The sequence below is a fragment of the Homo sapiens genome, chromosome 10, assembly GCF_000001405.40.
Source record: "Homo sapiens chromosome 10, GRCh38.p14 Primary Assembly".
Classification (NCBI taxonomy): Eukaryota; Metazoa; Chordata; class Mammalia; order Primates; family Hominidae; genus Homo; species Homo sapiens.
The window spans coordinates 52,580,597-52,598,335 of record NC_000010.11 but is presented as its reverse complement, the minus strand read 5'-3'; the positions used below and the strand labels follow the sequence as shown (position 1 = coordinate 52,598,335).

At 37.8% G+C, this 17,739-nt stretch overlaps 1 long non-coding RNA gene across 1 annotated transcript in view; it reads left to right on the top strand.

Moving 5' to 3' along the window:
* The window catches only part of LOC105378305 (uncharacterized), a 198,425-nt gene that overhangs the window by 157,069 nt on the left and 23,617 nt on the right, over window positions 1-17,739 (top strand). The window lies entirely within an intron of this gene.

Genomic DNA, 17,739 nt, shown 5'->3' with positions numbered 1-17,739 from the left:
AATCCTCCATAAAGATGTAGAAATTGAAGAGTACCTTATTATACCACAGATAATTTATCAATTTCATTCTGCAACTGAACAACTTCCCTATTCCTGGTTTGCATGGAAGACAGGCTAGATTAACTCACTGAGATAAATATTCCCCAAGATTTTTATGAATTACAAAAGGTTTTTTTTTTTTTTTTGCTATTTCAAGAGGAGCATTTTATTGCCTTGGTAGCTGAAAACAAATCTTCATGTATTATTCCAAATGACTTGCCCAGTTTGCCTCCTAAGATATGGATCGAAAAAATAAATATTATATTTTAGATAATGAAAGTAATGGGTACCCAATGTGAAACTTGAAAAATGGGTAAAAAAATAAAAAATAAATAATGGTCATTAAGTAGGAATATTTTTATACATTTTTAGAGTTTTCTGTGAATAAGTATTTTCCACAATTGAGAACACATTGCATATTATCATTTCAAGTCACATTTCTTCCTGACTTAGTATTATAGCATGTGTATATCATTTAGAATTTATTATATTTCAAGGGTCAGTAAACCCAATTCAAACTGGCTGAAAAAAATCCAGGATATTATTGGCCATAGAACTGAAAAATCCAGCAGGAGAAGTAGATTCAAGCACACACCAAAAGTTCGTCTGGGCTCTGGTTTTATTTACTTTCACTTCTCTCAGATTTACTTTCTTTACTTGGCTTTTCCTCATATTAGCTTCCCTTATGGTATGGAACTCAAACCACTAGAATCAGTTCCAGACTTTACACCCTCTTACCACTGTATTCAAAGAGAGATATTGTTTTCCAAAGCTCTTATAAAAGAAAATATTTTTTCCAATATTTCTAGAAAAATATCAATGGTACACTCTAATGAGAGATGTTTAGATCTGGTGCACGCCCCTAAAACAATCTTTAAGACAAGGGAACATTTTTTTCTGATAGGCTTAGACTTGGGATACATGTTCCAACCCATCTGGTCCACACAGACCAAGTACTATTTAATGCACTTATAACTACCACCTTAAAAGTATCTATGCACTTATAACTACCACATTAAAAGTATCTTCACAAATATCATTGTAATGTCGGTGTACTATCTCATTTTACTGTTATATCAACATTTTATTTAACATGCTTCTCTTATTAGATATTTAGGCTGTGTCCAACATTTCTTTTTTTTTTGTTGTTGTTGTTGTTGAGACGAAGTCTCACTCTGTCACCCAGGCTGGAGTGCAGTGGCGGGCTCTCGGCTCACTGAAAGCTCTGCCTTCTGGGTTCACACCATTCTCCTGCCTCAGCCTCCTGAGTAGCTGGGACTACAGGTGCCCGCCACCACACCCAGCTAATTTTTTGCATTTTCAGTAGAGATGGGGGTTTCACCATGTTAGCCAGGATGGTCTCGATCTCCTGACCTCGTGATCTACCCACCTCGGCCTCCCAAAGTGCTGGGATTATAGGTGTGAGCCACCGCACCTGGCCAACATTTCTGTAATGTAAATCATTTTGCAAATATCCTCTTTTATAAATATTTGGCTGCCTCGGGTTTTAATCTTTTAAAGATTACTACAAGTATAGTAGTTAGACCAAAGAAAAAGATATTTTTCTTTCTTATGTTGCTTTTTAGAAGAACCATATACCTCATATGTAGGGATACCTATCTATTACACCCTTGCCAGCATCATTTTTTAAAAATCAAAACTTTGTAATTTGTGAAATCATATACATCATGGTTATTTTTATTCAACTTTATTTACTTTACTAATGAAATTTATATTTCTCTTTAGTAATAATTGAGAATAGTAATTGGGCACTACTGTCCACCAATTACTAGTCTGGACTTAGATATATCAGATTATTTCAACATCTTAAAACCTATATAATTAATTAACTTGCCAAAAGTAAAATAAATAGTTAATGGATGGCCATCCAGGATTCAAATCATGTTTACCTGACTCAAATCTAAGCTTTTAATAATCTTGCAAAACTACTTCCTGAATTATCCATAGCAACTATTTGTATTTCCTACTTTGTTATTTGGTTATAACATTTACTATGATTCACTGGGAAGAATTCTAATCTCTGCTTGTTTCCAAAATCTAAAATAGCCAAAAGGCATCACAATTGAATTCACTATAGAATTGAAACTTTTCTAAGGAAAAATGAAAAATCTGGTGAAAGTCAAAGTCACAGTTTCTACACAGATTACTACCATTCTGTCATTCAGCACATGGGTGCTAAACTGAAATGCTCTACATAACTTTACATTATTAATGTTTGCAAAAGGCAAAAAAAAAAAAAGAATTTATTGCTTTAGCCCTCTTCTCTACGTCCTTGTCTGTCTGTCATGGCTGAAAGCAAAGTCTACAAGTGTTAATAAGATCTCTCTACAATTTGTATTTAAAATGCTTACAAAATTGGAAATGGAAAGAGTATCTTGCCAACTTACACTAATATTCCCAGTTCATAGGTTGAAATATGAAAGAGAAGATTATAAAACTTGTATCTATGTGTTTGTATTAGCATGAAACAGAATTACATTCACAAAAGGCCTTTATGATTTTGCTAAAGAATATTCAGCACAGATCAAAGAAACACATTATTCTTATATTGTGAACATAGTAAGCCACAGGAAAACTTTTACCTTTTGTAAAAGTTTCTGGGGCATCAAGTTACCCACTGGAAGATGAATTTTTACATCCTAATTCATTTCACCAGAAATATTTATAAGTCATATGTATTTCTCTGTCTCTCTCTCTCTCTCTCTCCGTCTCTCTCTCTCTCTCTCTCTCTCTCACACACACACACACACACACACACACACACATACACACGTGCGCAGAAAGATACTTATGGGAGGTCACATTCTACGTATCTATTGCACTTATATCACTTCAAAAAGTCACCAGTAGAGGGAGTAAATAATTTGAAAATCAAATTAATTTTGATTTATTTTTTAAGTTGTATAAATATTAACCTATTTCTGTAAAAGATCTGACTAACAAGTCCCATTATTACTTATGCAAGATTTATAGCTGTGTAAGACACTCTTAAAAATATAAAATATAATTACAAATATAAGATTTATAACTGTATAACTCTCAAAAAATAAAATATAATTATAATTACAAATATAATTTATAAATCTCTTAGTAATCTAAATCATAATCACACATGTTAAAAAAAGAATATGGACTTGAATCAAATGGACCTGGGTTTTTCTCTCCTTGCTCAGATTTTTTTCTAATTGTGGAACTTGAGACAAGCCATTCAATTTACCTGTTTCATTTTTCATGTCTTCCAGATGCAACCACATAATAAATCGAGATATGATGTCACAGAGTATAGGATTAAATATAATGATGTATGTAAAGTTATTAGCATTAAGAAATATTAGGGTTTTTTTTTTTACTTCATTAGTTTTCTCCATCTATGCGTAATTCACCTTGCTCTCTTCCCACCTCCCTTTTGAGTATCAACAACCTCTAGATTGGAAAGGAGTGAAAAGGCGTTGAAATATCTCTCTCGCAAGTTGTATTGTCCACCACTACTTGCTCTACCACATGATACACCACTCTGACTTCTCTCAGCTCTGCCATCTCCTTAATCTGTTTTTGGTATTACCTGAAATTCCAAGACACAATCCCTTCAAAAATAATGTATCTCCTCCCCGAAGACATCCTCCCCTTTTCTATTCCATTTCTTCAGTCACCATAGCAATATCGCACAACGCCGTTGAAGTATATCAGAGTTTCCTAATGGGTTTGGTCATCTGAAGGGATTTAGAGTGTCCATGACAGAAAATTAAAGAAAAATCTCTAAATATTCCCAAAGTCTAATATAAAAAAAACCATGAAATTAGGGATTCTTCAGTCAGGATATTCTCTTCAGGAGCATCCATTGCTCTTGAGCTTCTTTTCTGAACTCAGGTTTGAACTTTCTAGAAAGCCCTCCTTCCTCTAACCTCTTCTCTGAGAGTTACCACCCTTAGGGAATACAAACACAAGCTCACAGATGCTGGTCTTACTTCAGGCTCACTATCCTCATAGAATACTTCCCCAAGACTAAGTTGTCTGCTTGACATAGTACCCTAGACCTCCAGCAGGACACCCAAGGTGTTGCTTGGCACCTCATATCCCACAGAACACTCTGATTGTGAAAAGGCTATTCCAGTTTGCTCCTCTTGAAGTCATCTGTTTAATTGTATTATGGTCAGTGGATAGCTGTTGGAGTGTACCTGGGAACACACACACACACATTTCAATTTCCAAAGGACAAAATTTTTATTCTCAGAGTTCATTTAATCCTACAGGAAGGAGAAGCACATTTTCCTAATTGCATCAGTATTTGCAAGGTCACCCATTTTACTGGGTGTTAGTAATTCACATTTTAGGCAGGGCGACATGATAGTTCATTTGTTTCACCTGAACAGACTCTCAATTGTGCACTCAGACCTGCCCTAAATAATACATGAGCCAACTGATGACTTACTTATCTGCTAATTGTGACTGCCATAACCACACAAATACTTGAGTTTACTCCTTATAAGGGTCCAGTTAAATGGAGCAGCGTTTTCCTAGTGTATGCCCCACAGCCGACCTTTGAGAAGGCACAACGAAGTGTGTGCCAGAGGCTCATAGAAGGTAGGAACAGATGCTGCTTAGCATAGGAAAAGTGAGAGATGTTTCAGTGTTAGGAAATGGCATACTGGTAGAAAAATAGGCAGAAAAAAGGTTAGACTCACTGATATGAAAAGAGAAAGAAAGAGTTGCTTACTAAAAAAGACTTGCCTCCAAGTCAACAAGTGTAAGATAAACAGGACTCATGATTGCACAAGTAAAAGTGTCTTGTGATTACACTTCCTATATCCATTCTTAATAAGCTAATCTTGCTGATTTATTTTCCTTTATGTATTTTTTTCCTTTTTTAACCAGAATATTATTAGTACAGAACATGCATCTTCCTCTCTACCTAAAATCAACACATCTATGTTGAATTCCTTGTACATACCAGGCAAAATGCCAATCACTGGAAAAATACAAATAAAATACAAACCGATTGATATAGGCCAGGATCATGTGCTCCACCTCCAAATTCTTGACTGGTGTCAGTCTCACTCAAACCACCTGTCCTCAGAGAAGAAGGGTGGTTCATCAAAGAGATTGGGATACGTGATCACCAAAAGAAAAGTGAATGGATTATGGGGGGCCAGAAAATGAGGTCTCCACCGTATCAGGTGTGACTTCTTATTTCTAAGACTCTAGCCAAAGGGCTCAAAGGGCAAGATTTTATATTTCATATAAAACAAAAAATTATGTTGCTGACTTTTTTTAAAAGATTATTCCTATTTATGACCTAAACTTTAGAAATCTTTTTGCATACCCGAACCTTATCACAGCAATGCTACACAGTACCTGGTCCACGTTTAAGTACTGGACCCAGCACAGGGGTGGCAAAAGTAATCAGCAAAAGACTCTAAGAGGGAAAAATACATGAGAAAAAGAATCAGGGCAGTATAATGATAGTAAGCTTGACTACACTGGATATACAGGCATATCTTGGAGATATTGTGGGTTTGGTTCCAGACCACCCCTATAATAAAAATATCTCAATAAAGTGAGTCACACAAAATTCTTAGTTTACTAATGCATATAGAAGTCATGGTGGAAAGGGGCAGAGTAAAATGGTGGAATAGAAGTCATCGCTGATAGTCGCCCCTACAGGAACACTAAATTTGACAACTATCTACATCAAAAACACCTTCATAAGAATTACAAATCAGGTGAGTACTCACAGTACCTGGCTTTAATTTCATATTGCTGAAAGAGGCAATGAATAGAGTAGGAGGCCATCTTGAAATGCTGAAGCCACCTGTCCCGCCTCTTTCCTCACACACTCTTTTCCACAGTGGCCCCATGGTGCAGAGAAATCTGTGCCCTTTGGCAGAGGGTTAGCTCAGCGATTGTGAGACTTTGCATTGAACTTCGTGCTGCCCTGTCAGAGCAGAAAGCAAAACCCGGCTGAACTTCGCTGATGCCCGCCCACCAAGGGAGCATTCAGACCAGCCTGAGCCATAGTGGAATTGCCCAACCCAGAAGTTGAAACTTGAGTTCCGGCTTCTCACAAGCCTCACCACCATGGGCTGAAGTGTTCTCAGGCCCCAGATTGAAAGGCAATCTAGGCCACAAAGACTACAAGCCCTAGTTCTGAGCTGGGCTCTGAACCAGTGGAATTTGGGGGCACTCGACTTACTAAGGCACTGGCCAGGCCAGCTAAGGCAGTGCTTGCACCTCCCCTCCCCCAACCCCAGGAAACACAGCATGAGTCTCCAAAAGAAACCCCTTCATTCTGCTTGAGGAGAGGAGAGGGAAGAGTACAGAGGACTTTTGTCTTTCATCTTGTATAGTAGCTCAGTCACAGTAGGATAGGGCACCGGTCAGAGTTGTGAGGCCCCCATTCCAGGCCCTAGCTCCTGAACAACATTCCTAGATACACCCTGAGCCAGAAGGGAAACCACCTCCTTGAAGGAAAGGACCCAGTCTTGGCAGTATCCATCACCTGCTGACTAAAGAGCCATTTGGCCCTGAATAACCAGCAGTGATACACAGGTAGCACGCCATGGGTCTTGGTGAGATTCCGAGACATTTGGGCATCAGGTGAGACCCAGCACATTCACAACTATGGTGGCTATGGTAATGAAGTGGCATCATTGTCTGGAGTAAGTACCTAGGGTTTGTCATCTTGTGCTGAGAAGATTAACGACACGGACACACACACACAGTGTGTTAGGGAGCAGAAAGCTTAATAGGGAGAAGAAAGGAGAGAGGAGAGCAGGTCTCTCTCTTTTGGGAGAGAGGCATCTGAAAAGAGAAGAGCTGTGACTGCAGCAGATTTTATAGGCAGGCTTGGGGAGGTGGCGTCTGATTTATGTAGGGCTCACAGATTGGTTCAACCAGGTGTGATGTTTACATAGCACAAGGGAAAGGCTAGTCATCCCATCCTAATCTTATTATGCAAATGGACTATTTGGCTGGCACCATCTGGTCTGTTCCTACAAGTGACTGGCAAAGGGAAGGGAAGATGGAGTCACCATTTTGAACATGTCAAGTCCTAGGTAGCTTTTTCCTGCTGGCATTCGCCCGTGCAAGCTTCCAGCTTGCTTGTCTATGTCTGCAGCTTGGTTTTACAGGCTACTCTTTATTAGAAAATGATTTGGGGGCTGCTCTTCATTAAAAAGGATAACCTTACTGAGGACTCCCATACCTTCACTATCTGCCTAAGTAGTTTCCTCTTAACTCCTATATCAGTAAGACTCCTGCTTGAGAAAAGCAGAGGGAAAACTAAAGGGGACTTTGCCTTGCACCTTAGGAATCAGCTTGACCACAGTTGGGTAGAGTGCCAAGCACAATCTTGGAGTCTCTGATTCCAGGCCTTGGCTCTTGGACATTATTTCTAGACCTGCCCTGAGCCAGAGGGGAGCCCACTGCCCTGAAGGGTGAGTCCCAGGCCTGGCAGCATTCACCACAAGCTGATTGAAGAGCCCCTGGGCCTTAAGTGACTATCAGTGGTAGCCTGGCAGTACTTGCTATGGGCCTGTGGTGGTGGTGGCCAAGGGGTGAGGCTCTTCTGCTTGAAGAAAGGGAAGGGAAGAGTGAGAAGGACTGTGTTTTTTGGTTTGAGGGCCAACTCTGCCAAAGCAGAATAGAACACCAAGTAGACTTCTAAGGTTTTTGACTCCAGTTAGATCCCAGACAGCATCTCTGGACCTACTTGGGACCTGGGGAAATCTTGCTGCCCTGAAGGGATGAACAGAAGACTGACTGACTTGGCCATCTGCTGATTATAGAGCTCTAGGGTTTTGAGCGAACAGAAGTGGTAGCCAGGCAGTAATTACACTGGGACTTGGGTAAGGCCCAGTGTTGTGCTGGCTTTAGGTCTAACCCAAAGCATTTCCAGCGGTGGTGGCCACAGAAGTGCCTGTGCCACCCCACCCCCAGCCCCAGAGGCTCCCTTTGATTGGAAGAAAGTAAGGCAAGAGAATCAGAGTCTCTACTTGTTAATCCAGAGAATTCTTCCAGATCTTATCCAAGACTACCAAGGCAGTACCTCTATGAGTCTGTAAGAACCACAACATTACTGGACTTGGGGTGTCCCCTAATGCAGATATGGCTTAGATCACAACACTCAAGTCCTTTTGAATATTTGGGAAGCCTTCCTAAGAAGGGCAGGTACAAACAAGCCCAGACTATAAAGTCTACAATAAATACCTAACTCTTCAATCCCCAGACACTGACAAACATCAACAAGCATCAAGACCATTTGGGAAAACATGACTTCACCAAACAAACTAAATAAGGCACCAGGGACCAATCCCGGAGACACAGAGATATATGACCTTTCAGACAGAGAATTCAAAATAGGTGTTTTGAGGAAACTCAAAGACGTTCAAGGTAACATAGATAAGAAATTCAGAATCCTATCAGATAAATTTAACAATGATAATAAAATAATTAAAAACAATCCAGTAGAAATTCTGGTGTTGAAAAATGCAATTTACATACAGAAAATGTGGCAGAATGATCAAGCAGAAGAAAGAATTTGTGAGCTTGAAGACAGGCTATTTAAAAATACACAGAGGAGACAAAACAAAAAGAATTGAAATCAATGTAATATACCTACAGGATCTAGAAAATCACTTCAAAAGGGCAAATCTAAGGGTTGTTGGCCTTAAATCAGAAGTAGAGAAAGAGATAGAGTAGGAAGCATACCCAATGGGATAATAAAAGAGAATTTCCCAAATCTAAAGAAAGATATCAATAGCCAAGTACAAGAAGATTATAGAACACAACGCAGATTTAACCCAAAGAAACATGTCTCAAGGCATTTAATAAACTCCCAAAGGTTGAGGATAAAGAAAGGATCCTAAAAACAACAAGAGAAAACAAACAAATAACATATACTGGAGCTCTAATAAGTCTGGCAGCAGACTTTTAAGGGGAAACTTCACAGGCCATGAGAGAGTAGAATGCCATAAAGTGCTGAAAGAAAAACATTTTTACCCTAGCATAGTATATCCAGTGAAAATATCCTTCAAACATGAAGGAGAAATAGAGACTTTCCCAGACACAAAAAAGCTGAGGGATTTCATCAACACCAGACCTGTCCTACAAGAAATGCTAAAGGGAGTACTTCAATCAGAAATAAAAAGACACTAAGGAAAAACAAGACATCATCTGAAGGTACAAAACTCACTGTCAATAGTAAGTACACAGAAAAACACAGAATATTATAACACTGTAACTGTAGTGTGCAAACTACTGTTATCTTAAGTAGAAAGACTCAAAGATGAACCAAACAAAAATAATAGCTACAACAACTTTTCAAGACATAGACAGTACAATAAGATAAAGTAGAAACAATAAAAAGTTAAAAAGTGGGGAAACAAAGTTAGAGTGTAGATTTTTTAAATTAATTTTCTTTTTCCTTGTTTGCTTATATAAGCAGCATTAAGTTGTATCAGCTTAAAAATCATGGGTTATGAGATAGTATTTGTAAGCCTCATGGTAACCTGAAATCATAAAACATACAATAGATACACAAAAAGTAAAAAGCAAGAAATTAAATCATACCACCAGAGAAAATCACCTTCACTAAAACTAAGGCAGGAAGAAAAGAAAATAGAAAGAGAAGAACACAAAACAACCAGAAAGCAAATAACAAAATAGCAGGAATAAGTCCTTACTTATCAATAATAATATTGAATGTAAATGAACAAAACTCTCCAATCAAAAGACATAGAGTGGCAGAATGGATAGGAAACAAGACCCAATGATCTGTTGTCTATAAGAAACACACTTCACCTATAAAGATCCGTGGATAGACTGAAAATAAAGGGATGGAAAAAGATATGCTATGCCAATGAAAACCAAAAAAAGAGCAAGGATAATTATACTTATATCAGACAAAATAGATTTAAATACAAACCTGAAAGAAGAGACAAGGAAGGTCATTATGTAATGATAAAGAAGTCAATTCAGCAAGACGATATAATTGTAAATACATATGCACCTAATACTGGAGCACCCAGATATATAAAACAAATATTACTAGAGCTAAAGAGAAAGATAGTCCTGAATACAATCATAGCTGGAGAATTTAACACTCCACTTTTGGCATTGGACAGATGTTCCAGACAGAAAATCAAAAAAGAAACATCAGACTTAAACTGCAGTATAGACGAAATGTACCTAATAGATATTTACAGAACATTTCATTCAACAGCTGTAGAATACACATTCTTTTCCTCAGCACATGCATCATTCTTAAGGATAGACCACATGTTGGGTCACAAAACAAATCTTAAAATATTCAAAAATACTGAAATAATATCAAACATCTTCTCTGACCACAATGAAATAAAACTAGAAAGCAATAACAAGAGGAATTTTGGAAACTATACAAACACATGAAAATTAAACAATATGCTCCTGAATGACCAGTAGGCCAATGAAAAAATTAAGGAGAAAATTGAAACACTTCTTGAAACCAATAATAATGGAAACAAAACATACCAAAACCTATGGTATACAGAAAAAGCAGTACTAAGAGGGAAGTTTATAGCTATAAGTTTATAATGACATCAAAAAAGAAGAAAATAAATAACCTAACAATGCATCTTAAAGAACTAGAAATGCAAGAACAAACTAAACCCGAAATTAGTAGGAAAAAAAAGAAATAATAAAGATTAGAGAAGAAATTAATGGAATTGAAACAGAAGAAAATACAAAAGATCAACAACATGAAAAGTTGGTTTTTTGGAAAAGATAAACAAAACTGACAAATTTTTAGCCAGACTAAGAAAAAAAGAGAGAATACCTAAATAAATAAAATTAAAGGTGAAAAGGAGATATTACAACTGATACTGCAGAAATGTAAAGCAATATTAGTGGCTAGTATGAGGAACAATATGCCAATAAAATGGAAAACCTAGAAGAAATGAATAAATTCCTAGATGCACACAACCTCTCAACATTGAACCATAAAGAAACCCAAGACCTGACTAGACCAATAGCAAGTAATGAGATTGAAGCCATAGTAAAAAGTCTCTCAGCAAAGAAAAACCCAGGACAGATGGCTCCACTGCTGAAGCCAAATGTTTAAAGAAGAATCAATACTAATTCTGTTCAAACTATTCAAAAACAAAGAGGAGGGAATACTTCCAAATTCTATGCGGTCAGTATAACCGTGATACTAAAACCAGACAAAGACACATACAAAAAGAAAACTACAAGCTAATACCACCAATTAATAATTATGAAAAAATCTTCACCAAAATACTAGCAAACTGAATTCAATACTACATTTAAAAGATCATTCATCATGACCAAGTGGGATTTATTCCAGGAATGCAAGGATGGTTTGACATACACAAATCAATCAATGTGATACATCCTATCAACATAATGAAGGATGAAAACCATATGATAATCTCAACTGATGCTGCAAAGCATTTGGTAAGATTCAACATCTCTTCATGATAAAAACCCTTAAAAAACTGGTACAGAAGGAACATACTTCAACATAATAAAAGCCATATGTGACAGACCCATAGCTAATATCATACTGAATGGGGAAAAGCTGAAAGTTTTGTCTCTAAGATCTGTAACACAACAAGGATGGTTACTTCTACCACTGTTATTCAATATAGCACTGGAAGTCCTAGCTTGAGCAATCAGACAAGAAATAAAGGACATGCAAATTAGAACAGAAGAAGACAAATTATCCTTGTTTATAGATTATGTTATCTTATATTTGGAAAAACCTGAAGACTCCACACAAATAAAGACAGTATAACTGGTTAACAAATTCTGTAAAGTTGCAGGATACAAAGTCAACATACAAAAATCAGTAGCATTTTTACATGCCAAACAAGCAACCTGAAAAATGAATTAAGAATGTAATCCCATTTATAATAGCTAAAAATTAAATAAAATACCTAGAAATTAACCAAAAAAGTGAAAGATCTCTCCAATAAAAATTATAAAACATTGATGCAAGAAATTAAAGAGGACACACACACACACAAAATGGAGAGATACTCCATAATCGCGGATTAGAAGAATCAATATTGTTTAAATGTCTGTACTACCCAAAGCAATATATGGATTCAATGCAATCCCTATCAAAATACCATGATGTTATTCACAGAATTGTTTTTAAAAAACCTAAAATTTCCATGAAAGCACAAAAGACCCAGAATAGCCAAAGCTATGTAGAACAAAACTAGAGGAATCACATTACCTGACTTCAAATTATACTACAGAGTTATAGTAACCAAAACAGCATGGTGCTGGTATAAAAACAGATACATAGAACAGTGAAACAGAATACAGAACCCAGAAACAAATCCATACATCTGCAGTAAATTCAGTTGTGACAAAGATGCCAAGATCATACATTTGAGAAAGGATAATCTCTTTAATAAATGATGCTGGCCAAACTGGATATCCATATGCAGAAGAATGAAACTAGATCCCTATCTCTTGCCATATACAAAAATCAAGTCAAAATGGATTAATGACTTAAATCTAAGCCTAAACTCTGAAATTACTGAAAGGAAACATTGGGGAAACTCTCCAAGACATTGGACTGGGCAAAGATTTCTTGAGTAATACCCAACAAGCACAGGAAACCAAAGCAAAAATGAACAAATGGCATAACATCAAGTTAAAAAGCTTCTGCACAGCAAAGTAAAGAAACAAGTAAGTGAAAAGCCAACCCACAGAATGGGAGAAAATATTTGCAGACTATCCATCTGACAAGGGATTAATAACAATAATACATAAGGAGCTCAAACAACTCTGTAGAAAATAATCTAATAATGAAATTTTAAAATGGGCAAAAGATATAAATAGACATTTCTCAAAAGAAGACATACAAATAGCACACATGTATATGAAAAGGTGCTCAACATCATTGATCATCAGAGAAATGCAAATCAAAACTATAATGAGATATCATCTCACCCCAGTTAAATTGGCTTTTATCCAAAAGACAGGCAATAACAAATGCTGGCAAGGATGTGGAGAAAAAGGAACCCTTGTATGCTGTTGGCAATGTAAATTAGTACCATTACAGAGAAAAGTTTGGAGGTTTCTCAAAAAAGTCGAAAATATAGCTGCCATAATATCCAGCAATTTCACTCTTATGTGTATACCCAAAATAATGTATATTAGTATATTGAAGAGATATCTGCAGTCCCATGTTTATTGCATCATTGCTCACAATACTCAAGACTTGGAAGTAACCTAAGTGTCCATCAACAGATAAATGCATAAAGAAAATGTGGTATATGTACACAATGGGGTACTTTACATCAAAAAAAAGAATGAGATCGTGTCATCTGCAATAATCAGGATGAAACTGGAGGTCATGATGTTAAGTGAAATAAGCCAGACACAGAAAGACAAACTTTGCATGCTTTCATTTATTCGTGGGAGCTAAAAACAAAAACAACTGAACTCATGGAGATAGAGAGTGAAAGGATGGTTATCAGAGGCTGAGAAGCATAGTAGGGGGGTGGTTGGGGGAAGTGGAGATGGTTAATGGGCACAAAAAATAATTGGAAATAATGAATAAAGTCTAGTATTCACCAGCACAATGTGATATATACATATATGCACATATATATGCACCATGCACTCACAAAAATTTAAAAATTGATTACAATCTCAAAAAGTTATGTTTATACTATAAAATATACATACCTTAATTTTAAAAAACTTTATTGCTAAAAAAATGTTAGCAGCCCTCTGAGCCTTCAATGAGTCTTCAATTTTTTTTGCTGGTGGAGAATCTTGTCTCAATATTGATGGCTATTGACTAGTCAGGGTGATAGTTGCTGGTTATGTTAGCTGTGGCAATTTCTTAAACAAGGCAACAATGAAACATACTTCATTGATAGACTCTTCCTTTCCCAAAGATTTCTCTGTAGTATGCAATGCTATTTAGTAGCATTTTAACAACAGTAGGACTTATTTCAAAATTGAAATCAATCCTCTCAAGCCATGCCACTGCTTTATCTACTAAGTTTATGTAATATTCTAAATCCTTTGTTGTCATTTCAACAATGTTCATAGCACCTTCACCAGCAGTAGATTCTGTCCTGAAAATCTACTTTCTTTGCTTATCCATAAGAACTGCCACCTCCTCATCTTTTCATTTGAACATGAGGTTGTAGCAATTCAGTCACATCAGGTTTCACTTCTGATTCTATTTCTTTCACTATTTCTACCACATCTATGGTTACTTCCTCCAATGAAGTATTGAACCCTCAAAGTTATCCAAAAAGGTTGGAATCAACTTTTTCCTAATTCCTGTTATAGTGTTGTATTTTGATCTCCTCCCAAGAATCATGAATGTTCTTAATGCCATCTAGAATGGTGAATCCTTTCCAGAAGGTTTTCAATTTACATTGTCCATATTCACCAGAGGAATCATTATCTATGGCAGCTATAAACTTATAAAACATATTTCTTAAATAATATGACATGAAAATTAAAATTACTCCTTGATCTATGGGTTGCAGAATAGATATTGTGTTAGCTATAATGGAAACAACATTAATCTTGTACATCTCCATCAGAATTCTTTGGTGACCAGGTGCATTGTCAATGAGCAGTAATAGCTTAAAAAAAATTTTTTTTTGGAGCAGTATGTCTCAACAGTGGGCTTAAAATATTCAGCAAACAGATGTCTCATCATCCAGGCTTTGTTCCATTTCTAGAGAACAAAAAAAGTCAATTCAGCATAATTTTAAAGGGCCCTATAATTTTCAGAATGATAAATTATCATTGGCTTCAAGTTAAAGTCACCAGCAGCATTAGCCACTAACAAGAGAGTCAGCTTGTTCTTTGAAGCTCTGAAGTCAGGCATTGATTTCTTCTCTCTGGCTGTGAAAGTCCTAGATAACATCTTCTTCCAATAGAAGGCTGTTTCATCTACATTGAAAATCTATTTTTTCATGTAGCCACCTTTGTCAGTTATCTTAGCTAGATCTTCTGGATAACTTGCTGCAGCTTTTACATCAGCACTTGCTGTTTCACCCTGTACTTTTATGCAATGGAGATGGCTTTTCTCCTTAAACCTCATGGACCCACCTCTACTCAATTCGCATTTTTCTTCTGTGGCTTCCTCATCCTCTCACAGCCTTCATAGAATTGAAGTGAGTTGGGGCCTTGCTCTGAATTTGGCTTTGGTTTGAGAGAATATTGTGGGTGATTTGGTCTCCTATCCAGAATACCCAGACTTTCTGCACATCAGCAATAAGGCCATTTTACTTTCTTATTATTCTTGTGTTCACTGGAGTAGTACTTTTAATTTCCTGCAAGAAGTTTTCCTCTGTATTCACAAGTTGTCTAACAGTTTGGTACAAGAAGCCTAGCTTTTGACCTCTCTCAGCTTTCAACATGCTTTCCTCACTGATATAGTTTATCTGTGTCCCCACCCAAATCTCATCTTAAATTATAATTTCCATAATTACCACACACTGTGAGAGGGAACCAGTGGGAAGTAATTGAATCATGGGGGCGGGTCTTTCCCATGCTGTTCTTGTGATAGTGAATAAGGCTCACAAGATCTGGTGGTTTTATAAAGGGGAGTTCCCCTACACAAGGCCCCTGCCCTGTCTCCATGTAAGACGTGCCTTTCATCCTCCACCACGATTGTAACGCCTCCCTGGCTACATGGAACTATGAGTCCATTAAACCTCCTTTTCTTTATAAATTACCAAGTCTCAAGTATGTTTTTATCAGCATCATGAAAACAGATTAATACACTAAATTAGTAGGAGTAGAGTGGCGGGCTGCTGTAAAGATACCTAAAAATGTGGAAGCAACTTTGGAACTGGATAACAAGCAGAGGTTGGAACAGTTTGGAAGGCTCAGAAGAAGACAGGAAAACGTGGGAAAGTTTGGAAATTCCTAGAGACTTGTTGAATGGCTTTGACCAAAACGCTAATAATGATATGGACAATGAAATCCAGGCTGAGTTGGTCTCAGATGGAGACAAAAAATTTGTTGGGAACTGGAGCAAAGGTGACTCCTGCTATGTATGCTTTAGCAAAGAGACTGGCAGCATTTTGACCCTGCCTTAGAGATTTTTGGAACTTTGAACTTGAGGGAGATTATTAAGGGTATCTTGTGGAAGAAATTTCTAAGCAGCAAATAGTTCAAGAGTTGACTTGGGCGCTTTTAAAAGCATTCAGTTTTAAAAGGGAAACAAAGCATAAAAGTTTGAAAAATGTGTAGCCTGATAATGCAATAGAAAAGAAAAACCAATTTTCTGAGGAGATATTTAAGCTGGCTGCAAAAATTTGCATAAGTAATGAGGAGTCAAATGTTAATCAGCAAGACAATGGGGAAAATGTCTCCAGAGCATGTCAGAGACTTTCACGGAAGCCCCTCCCTTCACAGGCCCAGAGTCCTAGGAGGAAAAAATGGTTTCATGGGCCAGGCCCAGGGTCCCCCTTCTGTGTGAAGCCTAGGAGCTTGGTTCCCTGCATCCCACCCGCTCTAGCCATGGCAAAAAGGGGCCAAGGTGCAGCTCAGGCCATGGCTTCAGAGGGTGCAAGCCCCAAGCCTTGGCAGTTTCCATGTGGTGTTGAGCCTGTGGGTGCACAGAAGTCAAAAATTGAGATTTAGGAACCTCTGCCTAGATTTCAGAGGATATATAAATTGCTTGGATGTCCAAGCAGAAATTTGCTGCAGGGGCAGGACCCTCATGGAGATCCTCTGCTAGGGCAGTATGGAAGGGAAATGTGGGGTTGAAGCCTCCACACAGAGTCCACTGGGCACTGCCTAGTGGAGCTGTGAGAAGAGGGCCACCATCCACCAGACCCCAGAATGGTGGATCCACCAACAGCTTGCATCATGTGTCTGGAACAGCCACAGACACTCAATGCCACCCTGTGAGAGCAGCCAGGAGGGAGGCTGTACCCTACAAAGCCACAGGGGACCTAAGATCATGGGAACCCACCTCTTGCATCAGTGTGACCTGGATGAGAGACATTAAGTTGAAGGAGAACATTTTGGAGCTTTAAGATTTGACTGCCCTGCTGGATTTTAGACTTGCATGGGGTCTTTAGCCCCCTCATTTTAGCCAATTTCTCCCATTTGAAATGGCTGTATTTACCCAATGCCTGTACCCCCATTCTATGTATGAAGTGATTAACTTGCTTTTGATTTTACTGGCTTATAGGCAGAAGGGACTTAGCTTGTCTCCGATGAGACTTTGGACTGTGGACTTTTGAATTAATGCTGAAATGACTTAAGACTTTGGGGGACTGTTGGAAAGGCATGACGGATTTTGAAATGTGAGGACATGAAATTTGGGAGGGGCCATGGGCAGAATGATATGGTCTGTCTGTGTCTGCACCCAAACCTCATCTTGAATTGTAGCTCCCATAATTCCCTCGTGCTATGGAAGGGATCCAGTGGGAGGCAGTTGAATCATGGGGATGGGTCTTCCCCCTGCTGTTCTCTTGATAGTGAATAAATCTCATGATATCTGATCGTTTTATAAAAGGGAGTTCCCCTACACAAGCTCTCTCTGCCTGACACCATGTAAGATGTCTCTTTGCTCTTCCTTCGTCTTTCACCATCACTGTGAGGTCTCCCCAATCATGTGGAGTGGTGAGTCCATTAAACCTCTTTTCTTTATAAATTACCCAGTCTCAGGTATGT